General features: G+C 37.2%; 1 protein-coding gene across 13 annotated transcripts in view; it reads right to left on the bottom strand.

Annotated features, from left to right (window-relative positions):
• ADAM32 (ADAM metallopeptidase domain 32) overlaps positions 1 to 20,877 on the bottom strand; it is a 177,389-nt gene that overhangs the window by 61,938 nt on the left and 94,574 nt on the right. For 10 of the 13 annotated variants that reach the window (NM_145004.7, XM_011544433.3, XM_006716298.4 and 7 more), the window contains 2 exons: positions 11,656 to 11,836; positions 1,278 to 1,370 (listed from right to left, as the gene is read on the bottom strand). In NM_145004.7, the coding sequence (NP_659441.4) occupies positions 1,278 to 1,370; positions 11,656 to 11,836 (274 nt within the window). 13 annotated transcript variants of the gene reach the window in all.

Here is a 20,877-nt window from a genome sequence, read left to right as displayed (position 1 = left end):
TTTACTTCAAAATTGTGTTAATCATTTTCGCTTTAGTCTATCCATTAATGTATATTAATACTTTTTTGTACAAATTACTATGCTAATAATATAAAAATATAAATGGAATGTTATTGACTAAAATAGGAGATAAGACATATGTACAAGAAAATGCAAAACAAAAATCTGATGTGATGAAAGCCAAAGTTTTATTTGTAGTCTCAATGTAAGAGAAGAATGTTCACTTTAAGCTTAGGAAATTTATTTCTTTTGGGTGAAAATAATGTAATTTAGTCCATTTCTAAATGAAATATACTTTTTCAAGCCATGGTTTTTAAGTGTGGAATACTTTAAAATTCTATGACAACTGTGAAACATAAAAAACTGCAGAGGGAAACAGAAGTGTTATTAAAAATGCAGTTCAACTATGAGAGTCTTTGGAGAGGAAGGAACACAACTAGAATCTTTCTCTCAAATCATGGAAATACGTAGACTCTTTCATACATAGAATTGTGGAAATTTACAAAAAGAATCTCAAATAAAACATCTATCTCATAATTCTTAATTGATGACTTCCAGCTGACACTAAAAAGATTACAGAAGTAAGAATGCAATCAGATAATAACATCCTAAGGAAAGAATACATAAAACTGCATCAGTCCAGGACAGTCATGAAGGTAGACTGCATTACGGATAATTCAACAGAGGTATTCTCTTATGAGAAACCTGTTAATAATATTTTAGAAGAGCTGAAAAGAAAAACAGAAAACAGGAGTCAATGTCTTCACTGTATAAACTAAAACATAATCTTTAAGTCAAATGATCTTTGAATAATAAGTTCAAAGTTTAAATGTTATGCTACATGTACCATGTGGAAAATGTTACTTCTAGTGAGTTTCCTTCCTTATACATTTAAGGAAATCTGCTATATCTTTCAATTACACATAAATAGATACTTATTCACAACCCATAAAAACGTTTTTATTTACAATAATATAAATATTGTATCATGCAAATAAATAATTGTTCCATTCAATAGAGGTCTTCCGTATTGAAGAATCCAATAATATCTCTAAATCAAGGCTTAAAAAAACAGCATCAACTTAGTGAAAATATTGGCATATAGAACACCTAAGAAAAGTTAATAAAAATCAGAAATCTGATTCTGAATTTATTATCTTTCTCTTTATCTGAAAAGTAATTTAATTGATGTAATTACAGCTGTAGGTCTGTGTTGTAAAGTACCCTGCACATGATTTGTTATATATTTGAAAGATGTTCATAAGCTTAAATCTTACTTGACAGTCTTTGCAGCACAGTCCTTTATAACATTTTGCTCCGTCTTTCAGTACACAAGTTCGAAAATCACAACAGCTTGCAGGTCCACATTGCTATGAATTAGTGAAATGTACAAGTAAAAATACATCATGACAATAGTAAAATCTTTACTAGGAGTTATATTTTGATGGGCTTACTGTTTGAATTTGGAAAAGGATATGAATGCTGCTGATAGTTACAGGTTTTAACATCTTTAAATATTTAAAACACTAATGTAGGACTTTTACTACCAGTCACAAGAGAGTAACTAGTAACCTACTTACCTTCCTCTGGACTATATTCTCTACTTAAAAGACATGGAGAATGTCAGAATGGATAAAAAGCGAGACCTCACTATATGCTACCTATAAAAATACATCATGTATGAAGACACATAGACTGAAAATAAAGGCATGGAAAAATATATTACATGCACATGGAAACACAAAAGAGCAGGAATAGCTATATTTATATTAGATAAAATAGACTTCAAGTCAAAGACTGTAAAAAGAAACAAAGGTGGTCCCCATATACTACTAAAGTAGTCCATTTAGCAAGAGAATATAATAATTCTAAATACAGTGCACCCAACACTGGTGAACCCAAATATATAAAGCAAACATTAATAGACATAAAGAGAAAGAAAGAATAAATTACAATAATACCTGGACAATTCAACACCTCACTCAGTAATGGAAAGATCACCCAGACCAAAAAAGAAAAAATCAACACAGACATCAGAGTTAAACCACACTCTAGACCAAATGGACCTAACACAACATTTCTTCAAACAGCTATAGAATACATATTATTTTCATTAGCAAGTGAAACATTCTTCAGAATAGACCATATGCTAAGCTAAAAAACAGATCTCAACAAATTCAAAAAACAATTAAAATCATATGAAGTATCTTTTCTGATCATAAGGGAATAAAACTAGAAATCAATAACAAGAACTTAGAAAACTACACAAGCACACAGAAATTAAACAACATGCTCCTGAATGATCAATAGTCAATGAAGAAATAAAGAATAAAAATAAAAAATTGTTTGAAACAAATGAAATAGAAACACAGCATAACAAAACCTATGAGATACAGCAAAAGCAATACTAAGATGGTAGTTTATAAGAATAAATGCCTACATCAAAAAAGGAGAAAATTTTCAAATTAGCAACCTAATGATGCACCTCAAGGAACTAGAAAGGCAAGAAGAAACTAAACCTAAAATTAGTGGAACAAAAGAAATAATATAGATCCAAGCAGAAATAAGTAAGAGACTCTAAGTGCAAGTTGAATAAAAAAACAAAACCCATCCATCTGCTGTCTTCAAGAGATCCATCTTATATGTAACAAAGCCAGTAGGCTAATAGTAAAGGGTTGCAGAAAGATCTATCATGCAAATGGAAAACAAAAAAGAGCAGAAGTCAATATTTTTATAGTAGATAACACAAACTTTGGACCAAAAACAGTAATAAAAGATAAATAATGACATCACATAATGATAAAGAGTTCAATTCAACAAGAAGACTTAATGGTACCAAATATATATGCACTGAACACTGTAGAACCTAGATTCTAACTACTTCTAAACCTACAAAAACACTTAGTCACACAATAATAGTGGAGAACTTTAATACCCCACTGACAGTGTTAGACAGATCACCAAGACAGAAAACTAAAAAAGAAATTCTGAATGTAATTTAACACTTGACCAATTGGACCTAATACTAATACACACTTACAAAGTACTCCACATTTCAACAATAGCATATACATTTTTCTTAGCCGTGCACAGAACATACTCTAAGATCAACCACATGCTCAACCATAAACCAAGTCTAAATAAATCTTTTAAAAATTGAAATTATACCAACCATACACTCAAGCCACAGTGAAATAAAAATAGAAATCAATACCAAGAAGATATCTCAAAAACCACACAATTACATGGAAATTAAACAACTTGCTCTTGAATGACTTCATGTTGCTGAAAGAGGCACCAAAGAGGGTGGGAAAGAATGTCTTGAATTGTCAACAGCAACCATCCCTTATCCCCCAGCAGCAGCTTCATGGTGCGGAGAATCTGTGTGACTCAGGGAGGAGAGCACAGTGTCTATGAGGCTTTGCATTGAATTCAATGTTGCCCTGACACAGTGTAAAGCAGAATCAGGCTATACTCAGCTGACACCCATCCATAGAGGGGGCATATAAACCAGCCCTAGCCAGAGGGGAATCATCCTTCTGATCAGTCAGAGCTTGAGTTCCAGCAAGCCTCACCACCATGGGCTGGAGTACTCTGGGGCCCTAAGTGAACTTGAGGGGCAATCTATGACACAAGGACTGCAATGACTAGGCAAGTCCTAGTGGTGAGCTGGGCTCTAAGCCAGACTGCAGGGGCAAGTGACCTGTAGAGACACCAGCCAGGGAAGCTAAGAGAACACTTGTGCCATCCTTCCCCCAGCCTCAGGCAGCAGAGTGCACAGCGCCAAAAAGACCCCGTCCTTCTGGTTGAGAGAAAAGGGAAGAGTAAAGAAGACTTTGTCTTGCATCTTGGATACCAGATCAGCCACAATAAGATAGGGCACTGATCAGGGTGGTGAAGTCCCCATTCCAGGTCCTAGTTCCTAGATATTTCTAAACACACCCTGGCCAGAAGGGAACCTGCTGCCTTGAATGGAAGGACCCCATCCGGGAAGGATCAATCACCTACTCACTAAACAGCCCTTGGGCCCTAAAGAATGAACAGTGATACCCAGGTAGTATGCTGTAGGCCTGGAGTAGAACTTAGTCATGCTGACTTCAGGTACATGCTCTACCACAGTGGGGTAGAGCACCAAGAGGGCTCTTGGGTTCCCTTATTCCAGGACTTTTCTCTTAGATAGCACTTCTGGACCTGTCCTGGGACAGAGGGGAGCCCACTGCCCTGAAGAGTGAGTCCCAGGCCTTGCACACCCACAACAAGCTGACTAAGGAATCACTGGGCCTAAACTCAACATCAGTGGTGGCCTGGCATTACTCCCTGTGGGCCTGTGGTGGCAGAGGCCATAGGGTGAGGGTCCTTAGCCTATGGGAAAAAAAGTAAGAGTAGGAAGGACTGTGTCAAGTGGTTGGAATGCCAGATCAGCCACAGTAGAACAGAACACCAGGTGTATTTCTAAGGTTTCTGACTCCAATCCCTGGCTCCAGGATGGCATCTCTGCACCTGCCCAGGGGCTGTGAGAACTTGCTCCCTAAAGGGGAGGACACAAGCCTGGTTGGCTTTGCCACCTGCTGATCGTGGAGCTCCAGGGCCTTGAGTGAACATAGTCAGTAGTCAGGTAGTGGTTTCAGCAAGCCTTGCGTGAGACCCAGTGCCATGCTGACTTCAGGTCTGATCCAGCACAATCTAAGTGGTGGTGGCCACAGGAATGTGTCTCTCCAACCCCAGCTCCAGACAGTCAGCACAGAAAGAAAGAGAAATTCCATTTGTTTGAGAGAAAGTAAGGAAAGAAAATAAGTGTCTCTGCCTGGTAATCCAGAGAATTCTTCTGGATATTATCCAAGACCACCAAGACAGTACCTCTAAGAGTCTGCAAAAAACCACACCATTACTGAGGTTGGGGTGACCCCTAATGCAAATATGGCTTAAATCACAGCACTTAAGTCCTTTCAAATACTCTGGAAAACCTTCCCAAGGAGGATGGCTACAAATAAGCCTAGATGGCAAAGACTATAATAAATACCTAACTCTTCAATGCCCAGAAACCAAAGAACATCCACAAGCATCAAGACCATCCAGGAAAATCTGACTTCACCAAATGAACTAAATAAGACATCAAGGACCAATCCTGGAGAAACAGAGATATGTGACCTTTCAGACAGAGAATTCAACATAGCTATTTTGAGGAAACTCAAAGACATTCAAGACAACACAGAGAAGGAATTCAAAATTCTATCAGATAAATTTTAAAAGTAAATTGAAATTATTTAAAAAATCAAGCAGAAATTCTGCAGTTGAAAGACACAATTGACCTACTGAAGAATGCATCAGAGTCTCTTAATAGCAGAACTGACCACGCAGAAGAAAGAATTAGTGAGCTTGAAGAAAGGCTATTTGAAAATCCACAGAGGAGACAAATAAAAAAAGAATAAAAAAGAATAAAGCATATCTACAAGATCTACAAAATAGCCTCAAAGGGACCAATCTAGGAGTTATTGGCCTTAAAGAGGAGGTAGATAAAGAGATGGGGGTAGAAAGCTTTTTTCAAAAATATAATAACATAACTACCCAAACCTAGAGAAAGATATCAATATCCAAGTACAAGAAGGTTATAGAACACCAAGCAGATTTAACCCAAAGAAAACTACCTCAAAGCATTTAATAATCAAACTCCTAAAGGTCGAAGATAAAGGATCCTAAAAGCAGCAAGAGAAAAGGAACAAATAATATACAATGGAGATTCAATATGTCTGGCAGCAGACTTTTCAGCAGAAACCTTACAGGTCAGGAGAGAGTGGCATGACATATTTAAAAGTGCTGGAAAAAGAAAACTTTTGCCTTAGGATAGCATATCTGGTAAAAAAATATATATATATATTCTTTAAACATAATGGAGAAATAAAGACTTTCCCAGAGAAACAAAAGCTGAGGGATTTCATCAACACCAGACCTGTCCTGCAAGAAATGTACAAGGGAATTATTTAATCAGAAAGAAAAAGGACGTTAACGAGTGATAATAAATCATCTGAAGGTACAAAACTCACTGGTAAGAGTACCTACAAAGAAAAACACTTTATTATTATAACACTTTAACTGGGGTGCATAAAACTACTCTTATTCTAAGCAGAAAGACTAGATGATGAACCAATCAAAATAATAACTACAACTTTTCAAGACATAGTCAGTACGATATATATAAATAGAAAAAACAAAAAGTTGAAAAGCAGGGGGAGGAAGTAAAATCAGAGTTTTTATTAGCCTTCTTTTTGCTTGTTTGTTTGTGCACAGTGTTAAATTGCTATCAGCTTAAAATAATGGGCTAGAAGATAGTATTTGCTAGTCTCATGCTAACCTCAAATCTAAAAACATATAACAGATACACAGAAAATAAAAAGCAAGAAATTAAATCATATCACCAGAGGAAAATCACCTTTACTAAAATGAAGATGAAGGAAAGAGGAAGATGAAGGAAACAGAAAGGGAAGGGAAGGAAAGGAAAGAGGAGAAAGGGGAAAGGAAAGGAAGAAGAAAGACAAATAACAAAAGGGCAGGAGGAAGTTCTTATTTATCAATAATAACATGGAATGTAAATCAACTAAATGCTCCAATCAAAAATCAAAGAGTGGCTGAACGAATTTTAAAAACAAAAGAAATTAATGATCTGTTGCTTACAATAAATACACTTCACCTATAAAGGCATACACAGACTGAAAATAAATGGATGGAAAGGGATCCTTTGCCAATGGAAACTAAACAAAGAGCAGGAGTAGCTAGACTCATATCCGACAAAACACATTTCAAGACAAAAACTATAAGAGACAAAGAAGGTCATTATATAATGACAAAGGGGTCATTTCAGCAAGAGTATATAACAATTGTAAATACATATGCACCCAACACTGGAGCACCCAGATATATAAAGCAAATATTATTAGAGCTAAAGAGAGAGCTAGACCCCAATACAATAACAGCTGGAGACTTTGACATCCCACTTTTAGCACTCAGCAGACCTTCCAGACAGAAAATCAATAAAATCAATAAAGAAACATCAAACTTAATCTGCACTATAGATAAAATGAATCTAATAGATATTTACAGAACATTTCATCCAACAGCTGAAAAACACACATTCTTTTCTTCAGAACATGAATCATTCTCAAGTATAGACAGACCATATGTTAGGTCACAAAAGAAATCTTCAAGCATTCAAAAAAATTAAATAATATCAAGCATCTTCTCTGACCACAATGCAATAAAACAAGAAACGAATAACAAGAGGAATTTTGAAAACTATTACAAATACATGGAAATTAAACAATATGCTCCTGAATTCACAGTGGGTCAATGAGGAGATTAACAAGGAAATTTAAAAATTTCTTGAAACAAATGATAATGGAAATACAACATACCAAAACCTATGGGATAGAGCAAAACAGTACTAAAAGGTATGTTTATAGCTCTACGCACTTATATCAAAAAAGAAGAAAAACATTTCTATATGGTAACAGTGAACAATCTGAAAATCAAGAAAGTAATCCCATTTACAATAACTATAAATGAAATAAAATGTCTAGGAATTAGTTTAATCAAATAAGTGAAAGATCTCTACAATGAAAACTATAAAACATTGATGCAAGAAATTGAGAACACCAAAAATGAAAAAATATTCCATGTTCATGGATTAGAAGAACCAATATTGTTGAAATAGCCACACTACCCAAAGAAATCTACAAATTCAATGCAATCTCTATCAAAATACCAGTGACATTCCTCACAGAAATAGAAAAAAAAATCCTAAAATTTATATGGAATCACAAAAGACCCAGAATAGCTAAAGCTATCCTGAGCAAAAAGAACAAAACTGGAGGAATCACATTACCTGATATCAAATTATACTACAGAGGTATACTAATCAAAATGATATGGTACAGAAATATAGACCAGTGGAACAGAATAGAGAAACCAGAAACAAACCCATTAATCTACAGTGAACTCATTTTTGACAAAGGTGCCCAGAACATACACTTGGGAAAGAACAGTCTCTTCAATAAATGATGCTGAGAAAACTGGATATCCACATGCATGACAATGAAACTAGACCCCTCCCTCTCACCATATACAAAAATCAAATGAAAATGTAGTAAAGACTTAAATCTAACACCTCAAACTATGAAACTACTACAAGAAAACATTAGAGAAAGTCTCCAGGACATTGGACTGGACAAAGATTTCTTGAGTAATACCCCACAAGCACACAAAACCAAACGAAACATGAATAAATGGGATCACATCATGTTAAAAGCCTTCTGCATAGCAAAGAAAGCAATCAACAAAGTGAAGACACAACCCACAGAATGGGAGGAAATATCTGCAAACTACCCATCCAACAAGGGATTAATATCCAGAACATAAAAGGAGCTCAAACAACTCTATAGGAAAAAATCTAATAATCTGATTTAAAGGTGGGCAAAATGTCTGAATAGACATTTCTCAAAAGAAGACATACAAATGGCAAACAGGTATATGAAAAGGGGTTCAACATCAATGAGTAACAGAGAATTGCAAATCAAAACTACAATGAGATATCATCTCATCTCATTTAAAATGGCTTTTATTCAAAAGGCAGGCAATAACAAATGCTAGTGAAGATATGGAGAAAAGGGAATACTTGTACACTGTTGGTGGGAGTATAAATTAGTACAATCACTATGTATAACAGTTTGGAGGTTCCTCAGAAAACTAAAAATAGAGCTACCATATGATCTAGCAATCCCACTCCTAGGTATGTACCCAAAAGAATGGAAATCATTACGTCGAAGAGATATCTGCATGCCCATGTTTACTGCAGCACTATTCTCAATAGCCAGGATTTGGAAGCAGTCTAACTGTCCATCTACAGATGAATGGATAAAGGAAATGTGGTACATATACACAATGGAGTACTATTCACCCATAAAAAAGAATGAGATTCAGTCATTTGCAACATGGATGGAACTAGAGGTCATTATATTAAGTGAAATAAGCCAGGCAGAGAAAGACAAACACTGCATGTTCCCACTTATTTGTGGGAGCTAAAAATTAAAACAATTGAACTCATGGAGATAGACAGTAAAAGGATGGTTACCAGAGGCTGGGAAGGGTAGTTGGGCAGGTGGGGAGGGGACAAGGGAGTAAGGATGGTTAATGGGTATGAAAAATTAGTTTCAAAGAATGAATAAGAGCTAGCATTTCATAGCACAACAAAGTGTCTGCAGTCAAAAATAATCTAGTTGTACATTTTTAAATGAGTAAAAGAGTATAATTGGATTGTTTGTAACACAAAAAAATAAAGTTTGAGGGAATGAATACCTCATTTACCTTCATGTGATTATTATGCATAGCATGCCTGTATCAAAATATCTCATGTAACCCATAAATATATGGTAGATGTATGTGCAATAGATGTATGTATAAATATACACATCTACTACCCACAAAAATTAGAAATTTTTTAAAAAGATATAGACAAAAGAAAAGAAAAGTTGGTTAAGGGATCTAAAATACAGGTAAATGGAAGGGATTAGTGCTAGCACTCAATAGTACAGTAGGGAAATTATAGTTAATAATTTATTGTATACTTCAAAATAGCTAGAAGGGAAGAATTATAATATTCCCAGCACAAATAAAATATAAATATATGAGGTGGTACATACTCAAATTACCCTGATTTGATCATTACGCATTCTATACAGGTATCAAAATATAACATGTACCCCCAAAATGTATACAACTATTATATATCAAAAAATTGCTTAAAAAGTAAATTTTAAATGTTTTCTCCACAAAAAAAATAATAAGTATGTGAGGTGATGGATTTGTTAATAACCTTGACTTAATCATTACAGAAAGTAAATGTATATCCAAACTGCACTGTATCCCAGAAATATACACAATTATTATTTGTCCATTGAAAATAATTGTTTTTAAAAAATCGCCAGTAAGAGCATGCTCAACATCATTAAAGTAATCAAGAAAATGCAAATTTAAACCACTACAAAACCACTGGAATAGCTAAAATTTAAGAAGTGGATAATAACAAATTCTAGTGCAGATATGAAGGAACTCAAAGTTTCATATGCTGCTGACAGGAGTGTAAAAAGATACAACCATTTTGGAAAATATTTTGGCAATTTCTTATAAACATACACATATCATATGACCTAGAAGTTGTACTTCTACAAATTAAGAATAATGGACCAATAGTTTAACAACTTAAATGTCCATTAGCAGGTGAATGGTTAAAACAGATTGTGATATATCCACACAATTAAATATTACTCAAAATTAAAAGGGAGAAACTATTGTGATATGAAATAAATGGATGAATCTCAAAAACACTATATTGAAAGGAAAAAGCCAGACATAAAAAAATATGTGCTGTCTCATTTCATTTATATGACTTTCTAGACCAGGCAAAGGTAACAGAATCAGAAATTATCTGGAGACAGGTGGAGGTAGAAATGACTGCAAATATGAATAAGCTTTTGGGGATGATGAAAATATACATCTTAATTTTACCAATAGTTATATACATTTGTTGAAACTCATCAACCCGTACACTTAAAATGGGTGCATTTTATTGTATGTGGATTATACCCCAATAAGATTGATTTTTTTAAAAAAAATCAAGAACCAGGTGTGGTAGCTCATGCCTGCAATCCCAGCACTTTGGGAGGCCGAGGCAGGTGGATTACTTGAGGTCAGGAGTTTGAGACCAGCCTGACCAACGTGATGAAACCGTCTCTACTAAAAATACAAACTTAGCCAGGCATGATGGCAGGCACCTGTAATCCCAGCTACTTGGGAGGCTGAGGCAGGAGAACCGCTTGAACCCAGGAGGCGGAGGTTGAAGTGAGCCGAGATTGCTCCATTGCACTCCAGCCTGGGCAACAAGAGCAAAACTCCATCTCAAAAAATAAATTAATTAAAATAAAATAAAAAATAAAGAAAGATGACTTGTTCTACCAAATAGTTAAACATAATACAAAAACACAGTAATTAAAATAATGTGATATGGTTCAAGTAATTCAGACCTATGGATGTAACAGACCCTAATAAATTTCTGTCTACCTTGTAACCAAGGAAATTTATAACATTTGCAGTACTGCTACAAATACTGAATTATATAAAAGCATTAAACCCTAGGCCTTTTGAATTCATTATATTTTCAGGGTTTCCCTATCAAGTGAATAATCAAAATATCTAGTGTTCATATTGATATTGATACAGATTCCTGTACTACTGATTCCATTGTGAAGTAATAACCTAAAGGACACATTGGGCTGCTTAATCAATCTTCATTAAGACATCTGTAAAATGTCCAAAGATTAAGCAGAGATTTGTAAAGAACCCTATATATTTAGTCTGAAACTCAAAAGCTTATTCTAGACTCTCCTGTTTCCCATTACCAATAATTTTTTGCAGTACATTATAAACTTGTTCAAAATTCTTCAACCTACAAAATCTAAACAGTATTTTCTTGTATGTATTTCGACCCAACTTCACTTACTGTCAACATTCTGCATGGTACTCATTCACATTTGAGATATATGACATTTATGAAAAAGATAAATTAAAACAATAAATTTATTAATCAATTTTCCTAGTTATCATACTTACAGCCTCAGTACCACAATCACAGATTTCATTTCCCTCCAATCTGCCATTGCCACAGACTGGTTTCGGAGATTTTTTTTGCATTTGTGGCTTATTCTGAAGACATTTGACACCCACATTTGAAATGAAATTTTGAAAGCTCCTCAAACTGCAACTGCTAAAAGTCTTCACACCATTGGATTGCCTAAAGATGAATCCATATAATGTCATTGGCAGTATACTTCTGGAAACACATTTCTATATGATATAAATTAATTTCAAAATGTTAAATTCAATTGGCTGTTACAAATGTTTATAATAAGTGCTTAGAGGCCAAAATCATACTTGAGGATGTCATGTGATTTTATTCACTGGAATACATGTTCTTAATAAAACAAAATTAAGTACAATTCAATAGCAACACACACACACACACAGTAATCCAATTTTAAAATAGGCAAAGGATTTGAGCAGATATTATTCCAAATAAAAATCAGCACCCAGATTTGGACAGACATCACTTCAAATAAAAATTAGCACCCAATTAACCACAAAATTTTATTAAACAAATGATAATGTGCTTAGTCCTGAAGATCTCAGAAAAAAAGTGTATATTTATCAAAATTATATATTATTATGTCCATATACCAATAATAAAGAGAATTCATTGACTAGTTCCATAGGAAGTCCATTTTTACTATATTTGTATGTAGTAAACATCTGTAAGGCAAGGAAGAAACTGAGATTTATTGAGTACCTATTATGTGCCAGATTTCATTACTGATTTGGCTGTGCACATTGTCTTGAAAGTGACGATTTAAGATATCAGATGTGGAAGAGGAGGCAGAGTAAGAGCACGGGATAGAACCCTCCAGTGATCATCCCTCTGTAGGGACACTGAAGTGAACAATTATCCATGCAAGAAAACACCTTCACAAGAGCTAAAAGAATGAGGTAAAAGATCACAGTAACTGGTTTTGGCATAACAACAAGAAAAGACACATTGAAGAGCATAGGAATGACAGTTTTGCGTTGCCTACACCATCCCGTCCCCAATCTGAAGCAATGCACATAGAGAGTGAATTTGTCTTTTTAGGAGAGGGAGAAGGAAGTGTGCATGGGACTTTGCCTGAAAAGCCTGTACCAGCCCCACTACCGTAAAACACAGCACCAGGCTGAACCCCATGGTCCCTGATTCCAGGCTGGTGCCCACAGATTTCTAGACCTGCCCCAGCTAAGAAGAAAATTCATCACCCCAGCAGGATAGAGCCAAGCCTTGGCCAGCTTCACCACTGGCTGATGAAAGAAGCTTTAGGCCATGAATAAATATCAGCAGCAGTCAGGTAATAGTGACTGTGGGTGTTAGGTGAGCAAACCCTAACCATTACTGTGCTGGTCTATGAGGCCATGGGCTTCAGGTGTAAGCCAGTATGCTGCCAGTTGCAGTGGCCATGAAAGTGCATGTATCACCTCTCCAGCAACTCCAGACAGTGCAGTATAGAGAGCAACTCCTTCTGCTAGGGGAAGAAAAAGGAAGTGAGCAAGAGACTTTGGGCTTGGAAACCCACAGAACTGTCTCTGATATTCCCCAAGTCCATCAGGGTTGGATGCATAGGAATCTTCAAGAGAGCCACAGCGTAATTGAGCTTAAGGTGCTATCTAGTGCTGAAATGGCAGCAGTGACCATGGTCTTAACTCATCAGTCAGTACTCTTGGAATTTCTGTAAGGTCCTCTGAAGAAGGACCAATACAAACAAGGCCAGACTGTAAAGATGAGAAGAAATACTTAATTATTTAATGCCCAGATACATCCACAAGCATTAATAACATTCAGGAAAATATGATCCCATCAAGTATAATAAATAAGGCACCAGTAACCAAACCTGGAGAAATATGTGTAAACTCTTACACAGAGAATGCAAAATAGATGTTTTGAGGAAGCTCAAATAACATCAAGAAAACACAGAGAAACAATTCAGAAAATTAATTATCAGAGATACTTAACAAAGAGATTGAAATAAGTTTAAAAATCAAGCAGAATTCCTGGAGCAATAATAGATAAACTGAAAAATGTATTAGAGGGTCTCGAAAGCAGAAGTGATCAAACAAAAGGAAGAATTCACGAGCACAAACACAGGCTATTTGAAAATATGTCAAGAAGAAAAAAGAAAAAGTGAATTTAAAAGAACAAATAACACTTATTGGATCAGTGAGATACCAAATGTACAAGTCATTGACCTTCAAAGGGAGTAGAGGAAGAGAAAGGGGGTAGAAAAGTTATTTAAAAGAACAAAGAACAGTTATTGGATCAGTGAGATAGCAAATGTAAGAGTCATTGACCTTCAAAGGGAGTAGAGGAAGAGAAAGGGGGTAGAAAGGTTATTCAAATAAATAATAATGGAAAATTGTCCAAACCTCAATATAAATATCCAGTTACAAGAAGGTCAAAGATCACCAAGAAGAGTCAACCGAAATAAAACTACCTCAACGCATATAATAATCAAACTCTCATAGGTCAAAGACAATAGAGACTCCTAAAAGCAGTAAGAGAAAAGAAGCAAATAACATATGAAGGAGTGCCAGTACATCTGGCAGCAGAATTCTCTATGGAAACCTTAAAGACCAGGAAGGACTGGAATGACATATTCCAAGTCCTGAAGGAAAAAACTTTCAACCAAGAATATTGTACCCAGGAAAACTATCCTTAAAAATGAAGAAGTGATTCAAAACTCTTAGACCAATGAAAGTGGAGGGAATTCATCACCACCAAACCATAAGAAATGCTAAAAGAAGTTTTTCAGTCTGACAGAAAAGAATGCTAATGTGCAACAAGAACACATGTGAAGGTATAAAAGTAAACAAACAAATTTAGAACACTCTAACACTGTAACTATGGTGTGTAAACCATTCATATCTTTGGTATAAAGATTAAAAGCCAAAGATATTGAAAACAATAACTACAACAATTTTTAAGAGATAGGTAATATAAAAATATGTGAATTTAGAGATCAAAAAGTCAAAATTGGGGAGAAGGGAGTTAAAGTGTAGAGTTTTTCAGGTTGTGTTTGTTTCATTCTTTGTGATCAAAAAGTGGGTATTATCAAAAAGACAAAAAATTACACACTATAAAAGATGAGGATAAAGGCAATATCTTGAACATTCTTAGTGAAAATGTAAATTACACAACCATTATGAAAAACAATATGAATCTTCCTCAAAAAACTAAAAATAGGACTACTATATGATCTAGCAATCCACAACTGGGTATATATCTGTAAAAAAAAATCAGAATGTCACAGAGATATTTGCACTCCCATGTTTACTGCAGCACTATTCACAATAGCCAAGACATGAAATTAATCTAAATGCCCATCTACAGATAAACTGATTTTTAAAATGTGGTATATATATAAATGGAATATTATTCCACCATAAAAAGGAATGCAATCTTATCATTTCTGACAATATAAATGGAGCAGGAGGACATTATGTTAAGTGAAATAAGCCAGACACAGAGACAAACACCTCATGATCACACTCACGTGTGAAATTTTTAAAAAGTTGATTTCATAAAAAAAGTTGATTTCATAAAAATAGAGAGTAGAATAGTGGTTACCAGAGGCTGGTGAGGGAAAGAGAGAGAGGAAGACTGGGAGAGGTTGGTTAATGTGTAAAAGTTAGTTAAACAGGAAGAATAAGTTCTGGTATTTTATTACACAGTAGGGTGACTATACCAAATGACAATGTAGTGCATATTCCAAGACAGCTAGAAGAGCAGATTTTGAATGTTATTGTCATGCTGAAATGATAAATGTTTATAGTGATGGATATGGGAATTACCCTAATTTCATCATTATACAATATATGCATATGTTGAAACATTACACTGTACCCCCATATACACGTAAAAATTTTGGTCCATTATAAATTTTTAAAATGTATGAATAAAAAAAGACATGAGTTGTCACTTTTAAAAAGTATATATAAATCAAATTATCAAAATGATATATCAGGAATAGGAGGGGGCTTCAAAATGGCTGAGTAGGGGAGCCTGGCACTTTTCTCATGCACAAAAAAGACCAAAAGAGCAAGTAAATAACCAGGCATTAAATAGAGGTTCTAAGAGCAAGCACTGGAATTCATTGGAGAAGTGACAAAAAAAACTTCTGAGATGTAGAAAGACAGAGGAGCAGAGAAGCCAGCCTGGCCATAATAAGCTCAAATCCAGAAGCAAATCCTCACTGCAAGAAAAGGTAAACAAGATCCCCAGCCATCCACATTCCTATTGTGGACAGCTACAGTCCTAGCGGTGGGACAGTGCCTCAGTCCACACAGGCTCTGAGATTAGTATAGGCAGGTGCTTCGAGTCCACAAGTTGGTATTGTTCCACAGACGGTGTTTGTGCTGGATCCCAAACACCCCCATCCCCCACCCACCAAGACCCAAGCTGACACAGCACTATACTATTTTGAGAGCCCAGCCCCACCAAACCACCAGATTCAGGTTCAGATCCTGAACTGAATCCCAACAGTTCCAGCATCTCCACATCCCTATCATCCCATTGACATACCCCCACATCCACCCAGAGGGCTGCAGTGTCACAAAACAGGATTGACCCAGGAATGTAGTTGTGTCTCCAGCACTCTAGCTGATTCAGTGTCTATAGCCCAGGAAATGAGTGGTGCAGTGCACCAAGAAGGTGACCTCAAGGATGAAGGGAACCAAACAAATGCTCCCCAGAGCTTGAAAGCTTCCTACCCAGGTCTGCTGCAACTGACAGCAACCCAGAACCCTCCAATGTCAAGGTCACTGTGTACCTGCATCTACCTTCAGAGGGACTTAGGACTGGCCTGATAACATGCTGTCCTGGGGCCTGAGGACAAGCTTGCCCCACCTGCTGACTTCAGTGCCCATGCAGACCATCTGGAAACCTGAGAACAGGCCCAGTCTACCAACTGCCACCACTGCTGGCACCTGAGCATGTCACTTGGATGCCAGAAGAACAATCCACTCAAAACCACCATCACTGGTGCCTTTCTATGCCACCTGAAGGCTCCAGCAAGCCCTGCCTACTACCACCACCACGGGTGCTGAAGGACCAATAAACCTGGCATCCTTGTCCTTAGCAGAACCTCACCACAGCCTCCACTAACAAACACAGACCAAGCTACTGGGGAACTCATAAACACCACTGATGCTGCTAACAGACAAAGAAATCCTATGGAGACTACAATTCTGTGCTCACCAATAAATAAGGCCAAAATATCCTATCCAACTAATACTATAAATACATCTACAGGGAAAAGTATTTCCCCATGAAAGTCAACTCATTAAATTGTAAGAAGCAACTGATACACCAGATGTGCCAATATTAATGTAAAGACACAAAAATATGAATGAAACAAGAAAGAAAAAATATTCCTCTAAAGGAATACAAAAATTATGCAGTAACAGAGCCAAAACAAAAAGAAATCTATGAAACGTCTGAAAAAGAATTCAAAATAATGATAGTAAAGAAACTTAGTGAGACAAAACAGAGCACAGATAAATAATACAAAGAAATCAGGAAATATAATTTTAAGGAGGTTCCAAGATGGCAGCATAGGAACAGCTCCAGTCTACAGCTCACAGCCTGAGCAACGCAGAAGATGGGTGATTTCTGCATTTCAAACTGAGGTTCCAGGTTCATCTCACTGGGGCTTGTCGGACAGTTGGTGCAGGACAGTGGGTGCAGCGCACCAAGTGTGAGGCGAAGCAGGGCAAGGTACCACCTCACCTAGGAAGTGCAAGGGGTCACGGAATTCCCTTTCCTAACCAAGCGAAGCTGTGACAGATGGCACCTGGAAAATCAGGTCACTCCCACCCTAATACTGTGCTTTTCCAATGGTCTTAGCAAACGGCAGGAGATTATATCCCACGCCTGGCTCAGAGGGTCCCACGCCCACGGAGCCTCACTCATTGCTAGCACAGCAGTCTGAGATGGAACTGCAAGGTGGCAGCGAGGCTGGGGGAGGGGCGCCTGCCATTGCCGAGGCTTGAGTAGGTAAACAAAGCTGCCTGGAAGCTCAAACTGGGTGGAGCCCACCGCAGCTCAAGGAGGCCTGCCTGCCTCTGTAGACTCCACCTCTGGGAGCAGCACATAGTCAAACAAAAGGCAGCAGAAACCTCTGCAGACTTAAATGTCCCTGTCTGACAGCTTTGGAGAGAGTAGTAGTTCTCCCAGCATGGAGTTTGAGATCGGAGAACAGACAGACTGCCTCCTCAAGTGGGTCCCTGACCCCCGAGTAGCCTAACTGGGAGGCACCCCTGAGTAGGGGCAGACTGACACCTCACAGGGCCAAGTACCCCTCTGAGACAAAACTTCCAGAGGAATGATCAGGCAGCAACATTTGCTGTGCAGCAATATTCGCTGTTCTACAGCTTCCGCTGCTGATACCCAGGCAAACAGGGTCTGGAGTGGACCTCCAGCAAACTCCAACAGACCTGCAGTGAGGGTCCTGACTGCTAGAAGGAAAACTAACATACAGAAAGCACATTCACACCAAAACCCCATCTGTACGTCACCATTATCAAAGACCAAAGGTAGACAAAACCACAAAGATGGGGATAAAACAGAGCAGAAAAGCTGAAAATTCTAAAAATCAGAGTGCCTCTACCCCTCCAAAGGAACACAGCTCCTCGCCAGCAATGGAACAAAGCTGTATGGAGAATGACTTTGATGAGTTGAGAGAAGGCTTCAGATGATCAAACTTCCCCAAGCTAAAGGAGGAAGTTTGAACCTATCACAAAGAAGCTAAAAAGCTTGAAAAAATATTAGACGAATGGCTAACTAGAATAACCAGTGTAGAGAAGTCCTTAAATGACCTGATGGAGCTGAAAACCATGGCACGAGAACTACGTGACAAATGCACAAGCTTCAGTAGCTGATTCGATCAACTGGAAGAAAGAGTATCAGTGATTGAAGATCAAATGAATGAAATGAAGCGAGAAAGAAGTTTAGAGAAAAAACAGTGAAAAGAAATGAACAAAGTCTCCAAGAAATATGGGACTATGTGAAAAGACCAAATCTACGTCTGATTGGTGTACCTGAAAGTGATGGTGAGAATGGAACCAAGTTGGAAAACACTGTGCAGGATATTATCCAGGAGAACTTCCCCAATCTAGCAAGGCAGGCCAACATTCAAATTCAGGAAATACAGAGAATGCCACACAGATACTCCTTGAGAACAGCAACTCCAAGACACATAATTGTCAGATTCACCAAAGTTGAAATGAAGGAAAAAATGTTAAGGGCAGCCAGAGAGACGGGTCCGGTTACCCACAAAGGGAAGCCCATCAGACTAACAGCGGATCTCTCAGCAGAAACTCTACAAGCCAGAAGAGAGTGGGGGCCAATATTCAACATTCTTAAAGAAAAGAATTTTCAACCCAGAATTTCATATCCAGCCAAACTAAGCTTCATAAGTGAAGGAGAAATAAAATCCTTTACAGACAAGCAAATGCTGAGAGATTTTGTCACCACCAGGCCTGCCTTATAAGAGCTCCTAAAGGAAGCACTAAACATGGAAAGGAACAATCAGTACCAGCCACTGCAAAAACATGACAAATTGTAAAGACCATCAATGCTAGGAAGAAACCGCATCAACTAACGAGCAAAATAACCAGCTAACATCATAATGACAGGATCAAATTCACACATAACAATATTAACCTTAATTGTAAATGGGCTAAATGCTCCAATTAAAAGACACAGACTGGCAAATTGGATAAAGAGTCAAGACCCATCAGTGTGCTGTATTCAGGAGACCCATCTCCCATGCAGAGACACACATAGGCTCAAAATAAAGGGATGGAGGACGATCTACCAAGCAAATGGAAAACAAAAAAAGGCAGGGGTTGCGATCCTAGTCTCTGATAAACAGACTTTAAACCAACAAAGATCAAAAGAGACAAAGAAGGCCATTACATAATGGTAAAGGGATCAATTCAACAAGAAGAGCTAACTATCCTAAATATATATGCACCCAATACAGGAGCACCCAGATTCATAAAGCAAGTCCTTAGAGACCTACAAAGAGACTTAGACTCCCACACAATAATAATGGGAGACTTTAACACCCCATTGTCAACATTAGACAGATCAATGAGACAGAAAGTTAACAAGGATATCCAGGACTTGAACTCAGCCCTGGACCAAGTAGACCTAATAGACATCTACAGAACTCTCCACCCCAAATCAACAGAATATACATGCTTCTCAGCACCACATCACACTTATCCCAAAATTGACCACATAGTTGGAAGTAAAGCACTCCTCAGCAAATGTAAAAGAATAGAAATTATAACAAACTGTCTCTCAGACTACAGTGCAATCAAACTAGAACTCAGGATTAAGAAACTCACTCAAAACCACCCAACTACATGGAAACTGAACAACCTGCTCCTGAATGACTACTGGGTACATAACAAAATGAAGGCAGAAATAAAGATGTTCTTTGAAACCAACAAAAACAAAGACACAACATACCAGAATCTCTGGGACACATTCAAAGCAGTGTGTAGAGGGAAATTTATAGCACTAAATGCCCACAAGAGAAAGCAGGAAAGATCTAAAACTGACACCCTAACATCACAATTAAAAGAACTAGAGAAGCAAGAGCAAACACATTCAAAAGCTAGCAGAAGGCAAGAATGAAATAAGATCAGAGCAGAACTGAAGGAGATAGAGATACAAAAGAAAACCCTTCAAAAAAATCAATGAATCCAGGAGCTGGTTTTTTGAAAAGATCAACAAAATTGATAGACTGCTAGCAAGACTAACAAAGAAGAAAAGAGAGAAGAATCAAATAGACGCAATAAAAAATGATAAAGGGGATATCACCACCGATCCCACAGAAATACAAACTAACATCAGAGAATACTATAAACACCTCTACGCAAATAAACTAGAAAATCTAGAAGAAACAGATAAATTCCTGGACACATACACCCTCCCAAGACTAAGCCAGGAAGAAGTTGAATCTCTGAATAGACCAATAACAGGTTCTGAAATTGAGGCAATAACTAAGAGCCTACCCACCAAAAAAAGTCCAGGACCAGATGGATTCACAGCCAAATTCTACCAGAGGTACAAGAAAAAGCTGGTATCCTTCCTTCTGAAACTATTCCCATCAATAGAAAAAGAGGGTATCCTCCCTAACTCATTTTATGAGGCCAGCATCGTCCTGATACCAAAGCCTGGCAGAG

Source organism: Homo sapiens, chromosome 8 (assembly GCF_000001405.40).
Source record: "Homo sapiens chromosome 8, GRCh38.p14 Primary Assembly".
In the NCBI taxonomy this organism is placed as follows: Eukaryota; Metazoa; Chordata; class Mammalia; order Primates; family Hominidae; genus Homo; species Homo sapiens.
This window is presented reverse-complemented; position numbering and strand designations above follow the sequence as displayed.